At 38.1% G+C, this 22,624-nt stretch overlaps 1 protein-coding gene across 21 annotated transcripts in view, besides 4 other annotated features; it reads right to left on the bottom strand.

Annotated features, from left to right (window-relative positions):
• Positions 1-22,624, bottom strand: part of SP140L (SP140 nuclear body protein like) — a 76,540-nt gene that overhangs the window by 51,574 nt on the left and 2,342 nt on the right. The window lies entirely within an intron of this gene.
• Positions 3,875-4,214: an enhancer, noted in NCBI's record as "active region_17219". NCBI's record gives its function as "activates an Ori minimal core promoter by ATAC-STARR-seq in GM12878 lymphoblastoid cells {active_cell/tissue: GM12878}" and the evidence as "EXISTENCE:reporter gene assay evidence [ECO:0000049][PMID:35858748]".
• Positions 9,900-10,091: a silencer, noted in NCBI's record as "fragment chr2:231206783-231206974 (GRCh37/hg19 assembly coordinates)". NCBI's record gives its function as "represses an EF-1alpha promoter that drives an FKBP-Casp9 reporter gene in an ReSE screen in HepG2 liver carcinoma cells {active_cell/tissue: HepG2}" and the evidence as "EXISTENCE:reporter gene assay evidence [ECO:0000049][PMID:32094911]".
• Positions 9,900-10,529: a biological region, named in NCBI's record as "H3K27ac-H3K4me1 hESC enhancer GRCh37_chr2:231206345-231206936".
• Positions 9,938-10,529: an enhancer, noted in NCBI's record as "H3K27ac-H3K4me1 hESC enhancer chr2:231206345-231206936 (GRCh37/hg19 assembly coordinates)". NCBI's record gives its function as "activates a minimal SCP1, AML or CMV promoter by ChIP-STARR-seq in naive H9 embryonic stem cells {active_cell/tissue: H9 hESC(naive)}" and the evidence as "EXISTENCE:reporter gene assay evidence [ECO:0000049][PMID:30033119]".

Genomic DNA, 22,624 nt, shown 5'->3' with positions numbered 1-22,624 from the left:
GCAAATACACATGTATATATTTATAAACATCTTAAAGGTATAAGAACTATAAAAATTTTATTGAAGGAAATTAAATAAGATCTAAATAAATGGAGATATATAAAATGCTCCCAATTAGAAAAAAAGTAGTAATTTTAAAACATCAATTTTTCTGAAATTATTATGTAAGTATGGTGTGCTTGCAACCAGAAACCCCATTAAAACTGAATAAAGCCCAAGTGTGGTGGATAATGCCTGTAGTCCCAGCACTCTGGGACGCTGGCGCGGGTGGATCACTTGAGTTCAGGAGTTCAAGACAAGTCTGGGTAACATGACAAAAGGCTCTCTCTACAAAAAATACAAAAATTAGCCAGATGTGGTGATGTGCACCTATAGATCTAACTACTTGAGTGGCTGAGGCAGGAGGATCACTTCAGCTGGTGAGGTCAGGGTTATAGTAAGCCGAGGTCACACCACTGCACTCTGGGCTGGGTGACAGTGAGACTCCGTCTCGAAAAAAAACCTGGATAAAATAATGTAAATATTGAAATGACAGAATATATGAGTCAATAAAGAACAATTTGAGATGAGAATAGTTAAAGGAAGATTTCTCTTAATCGATTTAAATGTTCTTAAAAAGCAATACAGATATAAAAGACAGTGTAGAAAAACATTCTCAATATGTATGACAAAGGGTTAATATACCTGATATTAATAGGCAAAGACTAAAGTCTGCTAATAAAAAATAACAAACAATCCCTCCAACATGGACCTGAACAGGCAGCTTAAATAAAAGAAAATTAAAATGTCCAATACACATATGAATACGTTAAAACTAAAACATCAATGAGAAACCATTTCTCACTCATTAGATTGGCAAACACAATTTCATTAGTGACACTATGCCATGTGGGAGAAGATTCAGAGAAACAGACACTCATGGCTGGTGTGAGCATGAATTACTGCAGCCTTTTCAGAAAAGATTTGGCAACATCCGCTAAATTTTAAAATATACTACAGACTGACTGACCCAGCAGATCCAGCTTTTGGAATCTACCCTATATAAATAAAAAGATCAACATGTATCCTATAGAAACAAGAACTGCAGAACTTTCAATGCTCTCCATTTCTTCAAGAGTGAAACCCAGATCCTTACACTGTTCAAAGGTAATGTAATGATCCAACCTTCTCTCCTCTCCCCTTGATCACTTCTGCCTGGTCACACTCACCTATTTGTTGTTTCTTGACTAACCAGACATACTCTAGCCTTAGGGAATTGATATTGACTGTTTCTTCTGCCTAGCATAGATATATGTATCTATGCAGTGAACTAATTTCCTTGTCTCTTTTTGATCCTTGATTCACTATTACCTTCTCAATGAGATTTTCTTTGACCAACCTATCTAAAATCACAACCACAATCCCCCATCCTGCCCCCATACTCCCAATCCCCTCATCTGCCTCTCTTTTTTCCATGCTCTTGTCAATCCCTAACGTCTTAAATAAATTACACATTTGTTTGTTTATTGTTTATCATCTTCTTCATTGTCTCTCTTCTCCCAAAAATATGTATGCCATAAGGGCAGTGGCATCTGTTTTGTCCATTGATTTTTCTTGAGTACCTGATATACACAAGGTGTTCAATAAGTATTTGTTGACTACATTCTCATAAATACAGAAGTATTTATTGAAGCATTGTTTTTAGTAGCAAAACGACAACAACAACAACAACAACTCCACAATAACACATACCTCTAAACCTGAAAATAACCTGATTGCCCATTTGGCAGAATGGTTGAGTGCATTATCATAAATGTACACTGTTGAAATATTACATAGCTATTTAATTGTAGCAATTTGGGTTGAAGGTAATAGTTTTGCTGTTCCATGAAAACATCATGTTCAGATTAATACATTATGATCCCATTTTTATATAAATTAAACAAAAAAGTCTTTCATTTGTATATAAAATTCAGAATAAATAATAGGGAAGGCATGAAACGACTACACCCCAGGTGTTAACACTGGCTTAGTGGACAGTTTCAGGGTTCTAACCAGATCCCTTCAGATCTTTCTTTTTACCATTTTTTTGGGTAACATCAGAGGAAAGAGAAATAATAAACAAATAGAATAAGACTTTAGAGTAAGTATATTTATTTTATTTTATTTTTGAGATGGAGTCTCTCTCTGTCCCCCAGGCTGGAGTGCAGTGGCTTGATCTCGGCTCACTGCAACCTCTGCCCCCTGGATTCAAGCAATTCTCCTGCCTCAGCCATCCTAGTAGCTGGAATTACAGGCATGTGCTACCACTCCTGGCTAATTTTTGTACTTTTAGTAGAGACGGGGTTTTGCCATGTTGGCCAGGTTGATCTCAAACTCCTGACCTCGAGTGATCTGCCCACCTCTGCCTCCCAAAGTGCTGGGTTTACAGACATGAGCCACTGTGCCCAGCCTAGAGTAAGTATATTTAGTACCCCCATAACTTATTCAATGATATTGTTTCTATAAAACAACCAACTAGTAAACTTAGAAATGTAAAAATTGAGTTTTCAAATTCAAAATTAAAGGTAGGCAAAATAATAAAACATTTAGGAATGAACAAACAGAATGCAAGACTTGTATGCTGAAAATGACAAAACATTACTAGAGAAATTAACAATCTAAATAAATAGAGATACCCATGTTCATGGATTGGAAGACTCAATATATTTAACCTGGCAATTCTCTCCAAATTGACCTATAAACTCAATGTGATTCCTATCAAAATTCCAAATGGCTTTTCTGAAGAAATTGAGAAGCTAATCCTAAAATTTATATGGAATTGCAAGAACCCAGAATAGCCAAAACAATCTATAAAAAGAAGAAAAAAGTTGGAAGATTTATACTTTCTTATTTCAACACTTATTATAAAGCTACCCATATCAAGACAGTTATTGTACTGGTATAATTCAGTGAAACAGAGATGAGAGTGCAGAAAAAATCCTTGTGGTTTCAGCAATTGATTTTCAACAAAAGTGCCAAGGCAATTAAATGAGGAAAAGATAGTCTTTTCAACAAATACTACAAGTAGAATTGCATAGATACACACAAAAATACAAATGTAGACTCTTACCTCACATCATATACATGAATCAACTAAAAATGGATCATGGATCTAAATGTAAGAGCAGGGCTGGCTTCATGAGCATGCATCCTGTGCAGTCACAAATGACTCTGTGCTTAGTTTAGTGTTCTGCTTTCACTGTTCTGAAATCCTTAATAACTTGTGAGCAAGGATCCCCCATTTTTATTTTTCACTGGGTTCCCCAAATTATGTAGTAATCTTCTAAAAGAGCAAAAATGGCAGGACTTTTGTAAGAAAATAAAGACAAAAATCTTTGTGACTTTAGGTTAAATGAAGAGTTAGCTACAACATCAAAAGCATGATCCTTAAAATAATAAAGTGATAAGCTGAAATTTAACAAAACTGAAATCTTTTGTGTTTCAAGTATACTGTTAAGAAAAAGAAAAGACTAGGCACAGTCTGGGAGAAAATATTAGCCAATTATATTTTCAATAAACTACTTATATTCAGGTATGTAAAGAATTCTGACAGCTCTATAAGAAGATAACCCAATTTAAAAATGGGCAAATGATTTGAACAGATATTTCTCCGAAAGACACATGGAAGATAATAAAGACAAGAAGAGATGCTCAGTATCATTAGTCATTAGAGAAAAGCAAATTCAAACCACAACAAAATACTAATATGCATTCATTGGAATGGCTATAAACACATACAATAACAAGTTTTAGCAAAGATGTGGAAAAACTGGAACCCTTACACATTGCTATGAAATGGTCTTCTGGAAACAGTGTACGATAGATTTTGTGAAAGTTAACTATCACGTTACTGTTACTATAATGTTACTATATTCGCATGCAAGTCTTTGTGTGGATATACGTTTTCATTTCTAGGTAGATGTTTAGCAGTTAAATTCTTGAGTCATACAGTTTCACTTTGACTGTGTTGCTCCTCCCCAAGGCTGGCAAAGTGCCATATCAAGAGGGTTTTCCTGAGCCCAAAGTTTCTCCAGTGGGGAAAAGAGAGCCTGAGGAGGACATCCAGCTTCTGTAGCATTCTGTGCTACATCTTAGGAGGCCCACTTCTGTCTTGTCTCATGGGAAACAAAGAGGAAATCAGTGGGGCTAGACCACCTGTGTTTGACCAGAAATGAAGAAGTGAGGGCAGGGTTCACAGTGGCCAGTGCATGGATCACCATGCTGGTACTGTGTTCCTGCCATCAGCACCCTAGCAGAGAGCTCAGCCAGCAGCTCTGCCCAACTGCAGAGGCAAGCTGGTGACCCTATTTGGCCAGGGAGCATAGTCAGCAATTCTAACTGGCTTGGGTGCCTAGTCAGCAATCCAGGCCAGCTACAGGGTTTAGCTTTCTGTCTTGTTGGACCAGGGAACCCCCAAAGAGATTCTGCCCAGCCTCAAAGCCTAACATACGTCCTTGACCACGCAGGTAATCGAGCCAGCCACTCTGCCTAACTACAGAGTATGGCCTCTAGCCTTGCTAACCAGGAAGCCCAAATAGTAACCCTGCCCAGCCTCAGTGGCCAGCCAGCGACCTGCATGGACAGTAAACAAAGCCAAGGACACCTCCCAACTGAGGGGCACAGCCTGCAGTTCTGCCTAACCAGGGATTCCAGAGAATGATCCCATCTGACAGAGGAGCCCAGCTTGCAGCAAGCTGGGGCATAGCCTGTGGCCCCACCAAACCCAGGTACCTGATAACAATACTGATTGACACTGAAGCACAGCCAGTGGTTCTACTCTGGAAGAGAACCCAGACAGTGACTCAACCCAACTGCAAAACACAGCCTGCAACCCTGATTAATCACAGAGCCTAACCTGTGGTCCCACTGAACAGTAGCTTGAGGTCTTGTTCCATCTCAGAAGCCAGCCAGTAGCCCTGCCCAACCAAAGAGTCCAACCAAAACACTCAACAAACCATACAGGCGAGCCAGTGGCCCCAGCAAACACCAGAGCACAGGCAATAATCCTGCACAACTAGAGATCTCAAAAGCAAACTGTGACTATTCATGGATGCTACCAGCTGACCTGTCCAGATCTCCAGGAAACACTGACTACTAAAGGGCTTTCCATGCCAAAGCAAACCTATAAAGGTTGGAAGAGGTTACTTCTTCCTCAAATGTACAGACACTAATGTGAGGATACAAGGATCATAAAAAATCAGCAAAAAATAAAACCCCTAAAAGAAATTAATAAGCTCTAACAACTGACTCTAAAGAAATGAAGGTCTATGAGCTAACTGACATTCAGAATAATTCTCTTTAAAAAGTTCGGTGAACTACAAGAGAACACAGATGGACAACTCAACAAAATCAGAAAACAATATATAAACAAAATATAATGCCAATAAAAAATAGGAACCATTAAACAAACCCCCAGAAATCCTAGATCTAAAAAATACAATGACTGAACTGAACAATTTAACAGAAAATTCCAACAGCTTACTTAAGCAGAAGAAAGAATCAGTGAACTGAAAGAGAAGTCATTTGAAATTATCTACTTAGAGGAGCAAAAAGAACAAAGAATGAAAATGAGTGAAAAAAAGCCTATTGTGTTTATGGGACACCATCAAGTGAAACAACATACAAATTATGGAAATTACAGAAGAAGAGAGAAAGAAAAATGAGCAGAAAGTCAATTTAAAGAAGTAATGACTAAAAACTTCCCAAATTTGGGGAGAGAAATGGACATTTATGTTCTTGAGGCCCAAAGTTCCCCAAACAGGTTCAACAATACAATTCTACACCAATAAGTATTATAATTAAATTATCAAAAGACAAAAAGATAATTTTGAAAGCAGCAAGGAAAGCATAACTTATCACAAAAAATGGAGCCCTCATAAGACTAACAGTAAAGTTTTCAGTGGAAACCTCCTCTTCTCAGCCCAGGAGAGATTAGGGTGACACATTCAAAATATTGAAAGAAAAAAAACTGCCAACCAAGAGTGTTACACTTGGTAAATCTATCTATCTTAAATGAAGGCGTGATAAAGGTTTTTCCAAAAAAACAAAAGTTGAAGGAGTTCATCATCAGTAGACTTGTCTTACAAGAACTGCTAAAGTGAGTTCTAGTTCTTCAAGCTGCAATGAGATGGTATTAGTTAACAACATAACAATATATAAATATACAAAACTCACCAGTAAAGGTAAAATTTAGTCAAAGTCAGAAATCTCTTATATTGTAATGATTGTGCATAAATCACTTTCAATTCTAGCATAAAAATTAAAAATCAAACATTTAAATAAGTATAACTATAGTAATTTGGTTTTAGATATCCAATATAAAAATATGTAAATTGTAACATTAGTCAATTAAAATATGAGGGAGGAGAGAAACAAAAGTGTAGAGTTTTATATGTGGTTGAAGTTGTTAGCTTAAAATCAGATGATATAGCTATAAGATATTTTATGTAAGCCTCACAGTAACCACAAAGGAGAAAGGAGTCAAAGCATATCACTTTAAAATTCATCAACTCACAAAGGAATGCCACAAGAAAAAAAGAAAGGAAAAAAAAAAAAGAACTACAAAACAGCCAGAATACAAATTACAAAACAGCCAGAATACAAATAACAAAACAGCAATAGTAAGTTCTCACCTATCAATAAATGGATTAAATTCTCCAATCAAAAGAAATAGAGTACCTGAATGGATTATGAAAACCCCACAAGATCCAACAAGTTGCTGCATGTAAGAGACTCATGGTAGGTTTAAGAACACATGTAGGCTGAAGGTGAAGGTATGGAAAAAGATATCCAATGCAAAAAGTGACCAAACGAAAGCAGTGGTAACTATCTTTATGTTGGACAAAATACACATTAAGTAAAAAATGGCCACATAAGACAAAGAGGGTCAATATATAAGGATAAAGGGGCCAATTCATCAAGAGGATATAACAGTTGTAAATATTTTGACAATAGCATTGGAATACCTAAATAGCTAAAGCAAATACTAACCAATCTGAAAGGAGGAAGAAACAGCAATACAATAATAGTAAGGGACTTTAATACCTCACCCTTAACAATGACAGATGAATCAGACAGAAAATCATAAGGATTTTGATCTTGAACCAGACTTTAGATCAAATGGACCTAAAAGACATATACAGAACATTTCACTGAACAGCAGCAAAACACATATTCTACTCAAGTGTACATGTTAGGCCACAAAAGAAGTCTTAATAAATTCAAGAAGACTGAAATCATACCAAGTGCTTTTCTGACCACAGTGGTATGAAACTCGAAATCCATAACAGGAGGAAATTCAGAGAATTCATAAATTCTGTAAGGTATACATAAATAATGTAGGGAAGTTAAACAATACATTCTTGAATATCCAATAGGTCAAAGAAGAAGCCAAAAGGGTAATTTAAAAATATTATGAGGCAAACAAAAATGAAAACAAAACACTATGGAAAGGAAGCACTAAATATGGAAAGGAAAAACCATTACCAGCCACTACAAAAACACACTGAAGTACACAGCGCAGTGACACTATGAAGCAACCACATAAACTAGTCTGCAAAATAACCAGCTAGCATCATGGTGGCAGGATCAAATTCACACATAACAATACTAACCTCAAATGTAAATGGGCTAAATGCCCCAGTTAAAGAAACCACAGAATGGCAAACTGGATAAAGAGCCATGACCCATCGGTATGCCATCTTCAAGAGACCTATCTCATGTGCAAAGATACACATAGGCTCAAAACCAAGGGATGGAGGAAAATTTACCAAGCAAATAGAAAACAGTAAAATGCAGGAGTTTTGATCCTAGTTTCTGACAGAACAGACTTTAAACTAACAAAGATTTTAAAAAGACAAAGAGAACATTACATAATGGTAAAGGGTTCAATTCAACAAGAAGAGCTATCTGAAATATACATGCACCCAATACAGGAGCACCCAGATTCATAAAGCAGGTTATTAGAAACCTACAAAGAGACTTAGACTCTCACACAGTAATAGTGTGAGACTTTACCACCCCACTGACAATATTAGACACATCATCGAGTCAGAAAATAAACAAAGATATTCAGGGCCTGATTCAGCTCTGGATTAAGTAGACCTGATAGATATCTACAGAACTCTCCACTCAAAAACAACAGAATACACATTCTTCCCATCACCACACAGCACTTAGTCAAAAGTTGATCACATAATCAGAAGTAAAATACTCCTCAGCAAATGCAAAAAAAACAGTAATCATAACAGTTTCTCAGATCACAGCACAATCAAATCAGACCAAGATTAAGAAAGCAGCCATAAAAAAGGATGAGTTCATGTCCTTTGCAAATCAAAACCACATGAGATATTATCTCACACTGGTCAGAATGGCTATATTAAAAAGTCAAAAAACAATAGATGCTGGTGAGGTTGCAAAGAAAAAGAAATGCTTTTACACTGTTTTTGGGAGTGTAAGTTCAACCATTGTGGAAGACAGTGTGGCAATTCCTCAGAGACCTAGAGGCAGAAATACCATTTGACCCAGCAATCCCATTACTGGATATATACCCAAAGGAATATAAATCATTCTATTATAAAGATACAACCACATGTATGCTCATTGCAGCACTATTCACAATAGCAAAAACATGTAATCCACCTAAATGCCCATCAATGATAGACTGGATAAAGAAAATGTGGTACACATACACCATGGAATACTATGCACCCATAAATAGGAACAAGATCATGTCCTTTGCAGGGACATGGATGGAATTGGAAGTCATTATCCTCAGCAAACTAATTCAGGAACAGAAAACCAAACACCACATGTTCTAACTTATAAGTGGGAGCGGAATGTTGAGAACACATGAACACATGGGAGGAACAACACACTCTGGGCACCTGTCGGGGGTGTAGGGAGAGGGACAGCATCAGGAAGAATAGCTAATGGATGTTGGGCTTAATACCTAGGATGATCTGTGCAACAAACACCATGGCACATGTTTACCTATGTAACAAACCTGCACATCCTGCACATGTACCCCTGAACTTAAAAGTTGAAGGGAAGAAAAAGGAAAGACAAATAAAAGAAAACAAAACACACCAAAACTTATGGGATGCAGCAGGAGCAATTCTATCAGGTTTATAGCTATAAACACTTGGAAAAAAGAAAAATCTCCAACAACGTAGCTTTACACCTGATGAAGAAAGGCAAACTAAGCACAAAGTAAGGAGAAGGGAGAAAATAATGTAGATTAGAGCAGAAATAAATACGGAATAGGAAAACAGTAGAAAAGATCAACAAAACTCAGACTTGGTTCTTTGAAAAGATTTTAAAAAAAAGGATAAATCTTTAGCTAGACTAACCAAGGGAAATAAGAGACAGAACTTAAAACTTATAAATGAGACAGGAAAGATTACAACTAATAACACAGTAATTCAAAGAATCATTAGGCTACTATGAACAATTATGCATCAACAAATTGGATAACCTAGAAGAAATAGATAAATTCCTAGAAACATACAACCTACCAAGACTGAATCATGAAAAAACAGATAATCTGAAGAGACCAATAATAAGTAAACTGATTGAATAAGTAGGAAAAAAAAACCTTTCCATTAAAGAAAAACGCAGGCTCCGGGAGCCAAGATGGCCGAATAGGAACAGCTCCGGTCTACAGCTCCCAGCGTGAGCGACGCAGAAGATGGGTGATTTCTGCATTTCCATCTGAGGTACTGGGTTCATCTCACTAGAGAGTGCCAGACAGTGGGCGCAGGTCAGTGGGTGCACGCACCGTGCGCGAGCGGAAGCAGGGCGAGGCATTGCCTCACTTGGGAAGCGCAAGGGGTCAGGGAGTTCCCTTTCTGAGTCAAAGAAAGGGGTGACGGAAGGCACCTGGAAAATCGGGTCACTCCCACCTGAATACTGCGCTTTTCCGACGGGCTTAAAAAACGGCGCACCACGAGATTATATCCCACACCTGGCTCGGAAGGTCCTACGCCCACGGACTCTCACTGATTGCTAGCACAGCAGTCTGAGATCAAACTGCAAGGCGGCAGTGACGCTGGGGGAGGGGCGCCCGCCATTGCCCAGGCTTGCTTAGGTAAACAAAGCAGCCGGGAAGCGCGAACTGGGTGGAGCCCACCACAGCTCAAGGAGGCCTGCCTGTCTCTCTAGGCTCCACCTCTGGGGGCAGGGCACAGACAAACAAAAAGACAGCAGTAACCTCTGCAGACTTAAATGTCCCTGTCTGACAGCTTTGAAGAGAGCAGTGGTTCTCCCAGCACGCAGCTGGAGATCTGAGAACGGGCAGACTGCCTCCTCAAGTGGGTCCCTGACCCCTGACCCCCGAACAGCCTAACTGGGAGGCACCCCCCAGCAGGGGCACACTGACACCTCACATGGCCGGTTACTCCAACAGACCTGCAGCTGAGGGTCCTCTCTGTTAGAAGGAAAACTAACAAACAGAAAGGACATCCACACCAAAAACCCATCTGTACATCACCATCATCAAAGACCAAAAGTAGATAAAACCACAAAGATGGGGAAAAAACAGAACAGAAAAACTGGAAACTCTAAAAAGCAGAGCACCTCTCCTCCTCCAAAGGAACACAGTTCCTCACCAGCAACAGAACAAAGCTGGATGGAGAATGACTTTGACGAGCTGAGAGAAGAAGGCTTCAGACGATCAAATTACTCTGAGCTACGGGCGGACATTCAAACCAAAGGCAAAGAAGTTGAAAACTTTGAAAAAAATTTAGAAGAATGTATAACTAGAATAACCAATACAGAGAAGTGCTTAAAGGAGCTGATGGAGCTGAAAACCAAGGCTCGAGAACTACGTGAAGAATGCAGAAGCCTCAGGAGCCGATGCGATCAACTGGAACAAAGGGTATCAGCGATGGAAGATGAAATGAATGAAATGAAGCAAGAAGGGAAGTTTAGAGAAAAAAGAATAAAAAGAAATGAGCAAAGCCTCCAAGAAATATGGGACTATGTGAAAAGACCAAATCTACGTCTGATTGGTGTACCTGAAAGTGATGGGGAGAATGGAACCAAGTTGGAAAACACTCTGCAGGATATTATCCAGGAGAACTTCCCCAATCTAGCAAGGCAGGCCAATGTTCAGATTCAGGAAATACAGAGAACGCCACAAAGATACTCCTCGAGAAGAGCAACTCCAAGACACATAATTGTCAGATTCACCAAAGTTGAAATGAAGGAAAAAATGTTAAGGGCAGCCAGAGAGAAAGCTCGGGTTACCCTCAAAGGGAAGCCCATCAGACTAACAGCGGATCTCTCAGCAGAAACCCTACAAGCCAGAAGAGAGTGGGGGCCAATATTCAACATTCTTAAAGAAAAGAATTTTCAACCCAGAATTTCATATCCAGCCAAACTAAGCTTCATAAGTGAAGGAGAAATAAAATACTTTACAGACAAGCAAATGCTGAGAGATTTTGTCACCACCAGGCCTGCCTTACAAGAGCTCCTGAAGGAAGCACTAAACATGGAAAGGAACAACCGGTACCAGCCGCTGCAAAATCATGCCAAAATGTAAAGACCATCGAGACTAGGAAGAAACTGCATCAACTAACGAGCAAAATAACCAGCTAACATCATAATGACAGGATCAAATTCACACATAACAATATTAACTTTAAATGTAAATGGACTAAATGCTCCAAGTAAAAGACACAGACTGGCAAATTGGATAAAGAGTCAAGACCCATCAGTGTGCTGTATTCAGGAAACGCATCTCACGTGCAGAGACACACATTGGCTCAAAATAAAAGGATGGAGGAAGATCTACCAAGCCAATGGAAAACAAAAAAAGGCAGGGGTTGCAACCCTAGTCTCTGATAAAACAGACTTTAAACCAACAAAGATCAAAAGAGACAAAGAAGGCCATTACATAATGGTAAAGGGATCAATTCAACAAGAAGAGCTAACTATCCTAAATATATATGCACTCAATACAGGAGTACCAAGATTCATAAAGCAAGTCCTGAGTGACCTACAAAGAGACTTAGACTCCCACACATTAATAATGGGAGACTTTAACACCCCACTGTCAATATTAGACAGATCAACGAGACAGAAAGTCAACAAGGATACCCAGGAATTGAACTCAGCTCTGCACCAAGCGGACCTAATAGACATCTACAGAACTCTCCACCCCAAATCAACAGAATATACATTTTTTTCAGCACCACACCTATTCCAAAATTGACCACATACTGGGAAGTAAAGCTCTCCTCAGCAAATGTAAAAGAACAGAAATTATAACAAACTATCTCTCAGACCACAGTGCAATCAAACTAGAACTCAGGATTAAGAATCTCACTCAAAACCGCTCAACTACATGGAAACTGAACAACCTGCTCCTGAATGACTACTGGGTACATAACAAAATGAAGGCAGAAATAAAGATGTTCTTTGAAACCAACGAGAACAAAGACACAACATACCAGAATCTCTGGGATGCATTCAAAGCAGTGTGTAGAGGGAAATTTATAGCACTAAATGCCCACAAGAGAAAGCAGGAAAGATCCAAAATTGACACCCTAACATCACAATTGAAAGAACTAGAAAAGCAAGAGCAAACACATTCAAAAGCTAGCAGAAGGCAAGAAATAACTAAAATCAGAGCAGAACTGAAGGAAATAGAGACACAAAAAACCCTTCAAAAATTAATGAATCCAGGAGCTGGTTTTTTGAAAGGATCAACAAAATTGATAGACCGCTAGCAAGACTAATAAAGAAAAAAAGAGAGAAGAATCAAATAGACGCAATAAAAAATGATAAAGGGGATGTCACCACCGATCCCACAGAAATACAAACTACCATCAGAGAATACAACAAACACCTCTACGCAAATAAACTAGAAAATCTAGAAGAAATGGATAAATTCCTGGACACATACACTCTCCCGAGACTAAACCAGGAAGAAGTTGAATCTCTGAATAGGCCAATAACAGGAGCTGAAATTGTGGCAATAATCAATAGCTTACCAACCAAAAAGAGTCCAGGACCAGATGGATTCACAGCCGAATTCTACCAGAGGTACAAGGAGGAACTGGTACCATTCCTTCTGAAACTATTCCAATCAATAGAAAAAGAGGGAATCCTCCCTAACTCATTTTATGAGGCCAGCATCATTCTGATACCAAAGCCAGGCAGAGACACAACAAAAAAAGAGAATTTTAGACCAATATCCTTGATGAACATTGATGCAAAAATCCTCAATAAAATACTGGCAAAACGAATCCAGCAGCACATCAAAAAGCTTATCCACCATGATCAAGTGGGCTTCATCCTTGGGATGCAAGGCTGGTTTAATATACGCAAATCAATAAATGTAATCCAGCATATAAACAGAGCCAAAGACAAAAACCACATGATTATCTCAATAGATGCAGAAAAAGCCTTTGACAAAATTCAACAACTCTTCATGCTAAAAACTCTCAATAAATTAGGTATTGATGGGACGTATTTCAAAATAATAAGAGCTATCTATGACAAACCCACAGCCAATATCATACTGAATGGGCAAAAACTGGAAGCATTCCCTTTGAAAACTGGCACAAGACAGGGATGCCCTCTCTCACCACTCCTATTCAACATAGTGTTGGAAGTTCTGGCCAGGGCAATTAGGCAGGAGAAGGAAATAAAGGGTATTCAATTAGGAAAAGAGGAAGTCAAATTGTCCCTGTTTGCAGATGACATGATTCTATATCTAGAAAACCCCATTGTCTCAGCCCAAAATCTCCTTAAGCTGATAAGCAACTTCAGCAAAGTCTCAGGATACAAAATCAATGTACAAAAATCACAAGCATTCTTATACACCAACAACAGACAAACAGAGAGCCAAATCATGAGTGAACTCCCATTCACAATTGCTTCAAAGAGAATAAAATATCTAGGAATCCAACTTACAAGGGATGTGAAGGACCTCTTCAAGGAGAACTACAAACCACTGCTCAAGGAAATAAAAGAGGATACAAACAAATGGAAGAACATTCCATGCTCATGGGTAGGAAGAATCAATATCGTGAAAATGGCCATACTGCCCAAGGTAATTTACAGATTCAATGCCATCCCCATCAAGCTACCAATGACTTTCTTCACAGAACTGGAAAAAACTACTTTAAAGTTCATATGGAACCAAAAAAGAGCCCGCATTGCCAAGTCAATCCTAAGCCAAAAGAACAAAGCTGGAGGCATCATGCTACCTGACTTCAAACTATACTACAGGGCTACAGTAACCAAAACAGCATGGTACTGGTACCAAAACGGAGATATAGATCAACGGAACAGAACAGAGCCCTCAGAAATAACGCTGCGTATCTACAACTATCTGATCTTTGACAAACCTGAGAAAAACAAGCAATGGGGAAAGGATTCCCTATTTAATAAATGGTGCTGGGAAAACTGGCTAGCCATATGTAGAAAGCTGAAACTGGATCCCTTCTTTACACCTTATACAAAAATTAATTCAAGGTGGATTAAAGACTTACATGTTAGACCTAAAACCATAAAAACCCTAGAAGAAAACATAGGCATTACCATTCAGGACATAGGCATGGGCAAGGACTTCATGTCTAAAACACCAAAAGCAATGGCAACAAAAGACAAAATTGACAAATGGGATCTAATTAAACTAAAGAGCTTCTGCACAGCAAAAGAAACTACCATCAGAGTGAACAGGCAACCTACAAAATGGGAGAAAATTTTTGCAACCTACTCATCTGACAAAGGGTTAATATCCAGAATCTACAATGAACTTAAACAAATTTACAAGAAAGAAACAAACAACCCGATCAAAAAGTGGGCGAAGGATATGAACAGACACTTCTCAAAAGAAGACATTTATGCAGCCAAAAGACACATGAAAAAATGCTCATCATCACTGGCCATCAGAGAAATGCAAATCAAAACCACAATGAGATACCATCTCACACCAGTTAGAATGGCAATCATTAAAAAGTCAGGAAACAACAGGTGCTGGAGAGGATGTGGAGAAAAAGGAACACTTTTACACTGTTGGTGGGACTGTAAACTAGTTCAACCATTGTGGAAGTCAGTGTGGCGATTCCTCAAGGATCTAGAACTAGAAACGCCATTAAACCTCTTTTCTTTATAAATTACCTAGTCTCAGGTATTTATCTAGAGCAGTGCAAGAACAGACTAATACAACACACCAGGCAAATGCAAAATAAAAGAGAGCTCTGTGGCAAAACTGACATCAGAAACAAACAGAATTTAGACTGAAGAGTAATACAAACAGCACAGAAGTTTTTTGCATACTGATAAAAGATATATTCTACCAGTCTATGTAGTAGAAGTCATGATCTGTAAGAAAATTGCTTTAAAATATTGAAAGGAAAGTCTGACAGTGATATAGGAAAACTGAAAAACTCACAATTGTAGTAAAAAAATGTTAAGGCATCTCTGTTAGAAGTTGACAAGTCCAGTAAGTCAAAATTAAATCAAGTTAAAGATTTGAATAAAATAATGAGCATTCTGGGTTAAGTAGATGTGTAATGAAGAGGTTATAACTTGTTTCAGTACATTAAAAAATATCTGACATTTCTGAGTACTCACTCTGTATGAGGTACTCACTCTTCTAAGTGCTTGGTGCGTAGCTTAACTTGTTTCCTCCTCATAGATTCTCATGAAACAGGTGGTAGGCAGTTAGTGAGGGAACAAGACATAATTACTTGCAGGTAGCTAAAAGCAAAACAAATGGGGCCAAATAGTTTAGCTCAAGGACCCACCCCTTAGTGGAAAGGAACTGTTGCAACAGGCTGCAAAAATAAAGACAATTTAGACGTTCTAGATTAGGCACAGATAAGAATGTAACAAAGAAGAAATCAACCACAACTGGTTTAATCCAAGATGGCCAGAAACTTGACTGGCTGTGGACCCTTGACTGCATTATGCCCCTATTACTATAAGACTTCCACGGGGAAACCTCCCAATCCCATCATGCATCTGATGCCATGTCAATTCTGGATTAACCATATTTAGTAAAGAAAAAAGTGGCAATCCAATTCTGGGAACTGCCTGCCCATTTCCCAGAAAATCCCTCCTCTTATGATGGAATATTCCACACCTTCATTATGCTTATCTGTATAGTATGTGAGTCCTGGCCATATTGGGTTCAGCTTATTCTTTTGAGCACACTCACAATCCTCTCTTGAGTATGTACTTGCTTTCACGCTGCAATAAATCTTCTGTACTTTCAGTTTGGTCTGGCCTTCAAATTCTTTTCTGGGGTGAAGACAAGAACCTGTACCAGCCCACTGGTAACACCATTGTTGATACCATCATTTTATAGGGAAGAAACAAGGCTTGCCCCACCTCCACATCTATGCAGTGGCAGAGCTGGACTTCACACCGTCCCTCTCCAATCATCCTAGTGTTGATCCTCTCTTCCCCTCCCACTTTCTCTCCCATCTGACATTAGTTACCACACTCTTAATCATTACATTATATTGCCTTTCAAATGTGGCAAAGCCTCAAAAATGACTATGCACTAGGCCACAAAAAAAACAACAGTAGACTCTCACAAACCAAAATCCTAAAAAACACATTTTCTAACCACAATGTGATAGGATCAGAGTAAACAACCCAAGGACAGAGGACGACTTCCCCAACTCGTTCCACTGAGAAATTTTAAAAGCTGCTTCCAGACGCTTCTTAGGTTAATCAGGAAATCAAAATCAAAATAACAAACGGCTAAGAAACTCCAGTGAAAACACTGTACATTATAAAGGCCAAACGTTTCCAAAGTGGCACAGAGGTGAATATTCATGGCCTAACATGCATTTATTAGAAAATAAGAAACACTGACAAGTAGATTAAGTTTTAAAGCAAGGTATCAGAAACAGAACACAAGGTAATCCCCTCAACAAAGTTGAAGTAAAGAATTAGGAAAGAAAATAAATAGAAAAATATAAAAATGTTAAGCAAGATTTAATTATATCTCAAACAAAAAATAAGAGTAATGGATCAATAAAAGCAAAAAGTGGTTCATTGAAAAGACCAACAAAATGGAAAGATTGATCAAAAGAACAAAGGAAAAGACAACAATAAACAACGTTAGGAGTTTAAAAAATGATATGTCTTCAGAGAAGGAAAGAATTAAAACTTTATAAGAGAAATTTCGATACAACTTTCTACCAATAAATAAGAGAATCTAGGGAAAATATACTTTAGGACAATATAAATGATAAAAACTGCCTCAAAGGTCAGCATGAGAACTAAAAATAATAGAAGAAATGCATAATATGCTTGCAGACTTACCCTAAACTACATTTCACCCCACACCTACACACAGACATTGGTTTCAAATCATTTAATGGACAATTTTTAGCAATCCTTCAAGGAACAGGTAATGTCTGTATTAAAGAAACCATTTATATATATATATATACATATAATTTTAATCACCCTCAATTATTTCATAAGGCTGTTATAGTTTCGCTATCAACATCAAGCAAATACAAAATAAAAACTGTTGCTTAAAAACACATAAGGCAAAATCCCACAATAAAATACATGTAAATCCAACACTGGAATGGATGAAAAAATCATGTGACATGACCACGTAGGTGTTATCTCAGGAATTCCAGGACAAATCACATTAGATAATCGATCTATGTATTTCATTAAGCCTGGCGGGTTGAACACATCTGCATTCATCTTTGTTCCCTGTGAAATCCCATGAAACCACCTGTAATAGAGAGTTACAGGCAGAAAAGCAGCAGGAACCAGGGAACAGGAGAGGAAAGGACATCAAATAAGAGACAACCAAACATTTCAGAAGGTAGGTGCATACATGGCAGCTAGTTTCACAGAATGAAAGAATAAAATACCTGATTACTTGCAGAGGAAATGCTGACAAGGAGTAAGCCCATGTATGCTTTCAAACTCTGGAAGTGGTTAGTAATTAGAGGCACTGTTCCTTCAGAGGATAAATTGGAAGATGAAAATCAAAATGGGGTACAGTCAACGAGAGGCATTCCTTACACAGAGCTTCTAGTCAGATTTCTAGTGTCTCGTTCTGAAATGTGAATGGACACCCAATGGACACTTGATGAATTCTTTCAGAACAAGCAAATATTGGAGCAGGAGCTGCGAAAGAAACCTGGAAGGAACAGATGCAATTCTAAAAATCATCATCCTCATTAGGAGAGAGAAAATATTGGATTTCTTGAAACAACAACAACAAGATGCTATAAACGAGAAACAACTTTTTAAAAGGGCTTTTGGAAATTAAAAATATCATGGCAGAAATTTTTAAATCACTAGAAGAAATGAAGGTCCTGAGAAAATGTCATAGAAGGTAGATTCAAAAGAAGAAGACATACAAGATTGTCAAGAAAAAAAAACAAAAAATCTCTAGAGGATCAACCTAGGAAACCCAATATCCAACTAACAGGAATTCCAAAACATAAAACAGAGAGATAAGGCAGAAGGGAGAAAATAATTAAATAATATCACAAGCAAAATGATGAGAATTGAAATAAATTGGTCTCCATTTGAAAGGACCCCGGAGAACTAAGCACAACACTCACGCCAAGGCAAACCATCATGAGAATTTAGAATCAAGGGATTAAAGAGATGAGCCAGAAAGTTTCAGAGAGGCAAAACAGGTGACATAGAAAGACAGGATCAAGAATCAGAATGGGGGTCGGGCGCGGTGGCTTATGCCTGTAATCCCAGCACTTTGGGAGGCCGAAGCGAGTGGATCATGAGGTCAAGAGATTGAGACCTTCCTGGCAAACATGGTGAAACCCTGTCTCTACTAAAAATACAAAAAATTAGCCAGACGTGGTGGTGGGCACCTGTAGTCCCAGCTACTCGGGAGGCTGAGGCAGGAGAATCACTTGAACCTGGGAGGTGGAGGTTGCAGTGAGCTGAGATTGTGCCACTGCACTCCAGCCTGGAGAAAGAGCGAGACTCCATCAAAAAAAAAAAAAAATCAGAATGGCATTCGACTTCTTATTAGCAATGCTGAAAACTGCAAGGCAGTTAACCAAATTAATTTCCAAACTATACATTTAGATTTACCAAATTTTCATACAGTTGTGAGGTTTAAGAATAATTTTTTTTCCAGATATGAATGATCTTAAGATATATACCTTCTATGAACTCTTAGTCAGGAGGCTACTGGATAATGCGGTAAGCCAAAATGAGATAGTAAAGCAAGAAAGAAGATACATGTAATCCATAAAACAAGACCCAACACAGGAGAGATGTCTAGCTTCAGAAGGTCAGTCTTGGAAGCTGAAACTAACCAGAACTAATTGGATCAGCAGAATGGGTAGCTCCAGAAGGGCTCCCCCAAGAAAATAAAACGGAATTGATAAGTTACACAATGTGCCTCACTGTCCTGAGAAGAATTTTAGAATTCTGCAGGGTGCCTGGGAAGAATTCATAACAAGGGCACACAAAATCCAAGCAAATGTGTAAGAGGGCAATAGTTATTTTTGGGAAAGATGTTGCACAGGAAAGGAAATGTGATCATCACATAGTATATGACTTGGTTATGAACATCATTTAAATAACCCTCATAACGATAACACTGATTACTGATGAACCTCAAACTGTGATGTATTACGAGAATGGATGGGGAATGAAAAGGAGTGTTAGGGGAGAAGTCTTCATCTTCTGCCCTATTATGTGAACAGATTAATGTCTGGAACTTGAAAAATTACAAAGAGCTGTATCTGCATATCTTTTCAAATTACAGAAGTAAGTACAGAAGGAAGAGCTAAAAGGTTAAAGATAATCCATCTGGGAAACTGGACGACGACTGGGGAAGATGGCCGAAAGAGCTACTTTTGTATTTTAAGGTCTTGTTGACTGTTTGATATTTTAATCTCTCTATGTATGTTTTACTTTGGAAAAATTATCAAAATTAATAAAAGTAAAATGATATGATGACCTCAAAGATTCTTTAGCAAACATTTTGATAAATATCCTATACATGGTCTTGATTAAAAGAAATAACTTAGTAAACCGGAGCAGAAAATGTCCTTATCTTGATAAAAGGCATCTGTCAGAAAGTCTCAAGTTAAACATTACAAGCGTTCCCCTGAGCGCTGGAACAAAACAAAAATGCTCATTTTTGTTGTTGCTATTCAGTATTACACTGACAATCCTGCCTAATGCACAAAGGGAAAAAGAAGGAAAAAAAGTAAGAAAAAGAAAAATACACGGTATAAATTCTGAAAAAGAGCAGACAAAGCTGCTATTTTGAAGATGTAATTATTTCTCCAGAAAAAAACAAGACAATAATAGAAGGGAGAAGACTACTTAGAAAGTCTCCTATGCACAAAGTCATCAAACTAAAACAAATAGATTTCCCCTATGCCAGAAAGAAATAACTAGAAAATGTAAAAGGAAAACGAGTTCCTGTTTACAAATACAATTTTAAAATGCCTAGCACTAAAGTGACCCAATAAGGACTCAAGTTCAAAAAATTATAAATAAGTGGAGAGATATACCATGTTTCTAGCTGGGATCATTAAGAATTTTTAAAAATGTAAATTCTTGTTAGATTTATCTATTCATTTAGTGTCTCTCAGTTGAATCCCAGCAAGACAGGTTACAGAACACTACCTAGAAGATCATAGCAACTAAAACAGTTCAGTATTGAAACAAGAATAAAAAATATAACCATGGATTAGAACATGGGTCACCTATACAAATTTATATGTAAGAGAGAATTTAGTACACTCATTCCCTTTTATCCACAGCAGATGCTTCCAAGATCCCCAGCGGATGCCTGAAACTGCAGATAGTACCAAACTCTGTATATACTATGTTTTCCCCCATCTATACATAAATTAGGCATAATAAGAGATTAAAAATAATATTTAATAATAAAGTAGAACAACTATAACAATATACTGTAATAAAAGTTATGTAAATGTGGTCTCTTTCTCTCTCTCAAAAGATTGAACTGTAGATATTAGCAACCTTAGCATGTGATTTTTTTTTTCTTTCAGGAAATTTCACATTTTCACTTAAAGGAAGCACTTGACGGCTTCTCTTTGGCATATCTGAATGGCCAGCATCAATCCTCATGTGCTTTGGGGCCTTTATTGACTAAAATCAGGGTTCTCTGAACACAAGCACTGAGATACCATGACAGCCGATCTGATTACCAGGATGGCTACTCAGTGACTCATGGACTGGTGGTGTCCACATTGTGGATACGCTGGATAAAGGGACAGTTCGCATCCTGGGCGGGATGGAGAGGGACAGCGTGAGATTTCATCACACTACTCAGAACAGCAAGTAACTTAAAACTCATGAATTGTTTATTTCTGGAATTTTCCATTTAATGTTTTTGGACCATGGTTGACTATGACTAAATGAAACCTCAGAAAGTGAAACCGTGGATAAAGAAGGACTACTATAGTTAATAATAGCATAAAGATATCAAATATCTATGAAGAAATCTAGCAGAAGTACAAGACCTTCAGAGAGAAAAATACATTTTAATAGAAAACATTTCTAAACTAATCATATACGTGAGCCATATTCATGAGAATGGAAGGCATAATATTGTAAATATGTCGGCTCTCTTCAAATTGATCTATAGAGTCAGTGCAATTTCACACAAAATGCCAAGATTTTGACAGGCTAATTTGGGAACCCAAAGTTTAAGACATTTTGGAGGAAGAGGAAGAGATTTTGCCTCGTCAGATGTCAAGAGTTCCTGGAAAGCCTCCATCGCTACGGCAGTGTGGTACTGGCATAAGAAGAGGCTCTTACAGGCCAGGGGCAGAGAAGAGAGAACACAGAAACACACCCTGCCTCTATGGCCACCTGGTTCACAATAAGTGGGGAAAAGGGTAAGATAATTAATGGTGTCCTCAGAAAAATTGATAAGAATAAAAACAGAGTCTTCAAACTGTAGCTCAGATGAAAAACAATTTGGTCTCTCTCAGATAAAATAGGAACCTTGAAAAAAACCATGACTCTCCCAGATTACAACAGAGCAAATGGGATATTTAGGGTGAGCTGCCCTGGTCGAGCCTGCCCAGATGGGTTGTAAAGCCACAGCAGGCACATGGAACACAAGATCAGATAGAATCAGTCTGGAAGAATATCTCAGAGACGATAATAATATCCCAAAGTTCTTAACATTGCACAAAAACCTAAAAAAGAAAAACCATGAAGATTGAACGAGAAATGAACAAAATGTGGAATACAGGGGAGCTTGCAGAGCTATAGAAACAAATTAAGATCCCTCCTCAAAAATAAACACGATCAATTTTTTTAAATTGGAAATTACAAGAAACAAGAAATCTACTGAAAGCTAGATGTATTAATCTGTTTTGACACTGCTATAAAGGAATACCCCAGACTGGGTAATTTATAAACGAAAGAGGTTTAATTGGCACACAGTTCTGCATGGCTGGGGAGGCCTCAGGAAACTTAAAATCATGGCAGAAGGTGAAGGAGAAGCAAGTGTCTTCTTCACAAGATGGCAAGAGAGAGAGCACAAGGGAAGCTATCATTTACAAAACCATCAGATCTTGGGAGAATTCACTCACTGTCATGAGAATAGCATGGGAGAAGCTGCCCCCATGATCCA

Source organism: Homo sapiens, chromosome 2 (assembly GCF_000001405.40).
Source record: "Homo sapiens chromosome 2, GRCh38.p14 Primary Assembly".
NCBI lineage: Eukaryota > Metazoa > Chordata > Mammalia > Primates > Hominidae > Homo > Homo sapiens.
Note: the sequence above shows the minus strand (reverse complement) of the source record. Positions and strands in the feature narration are given on the sequence as shown.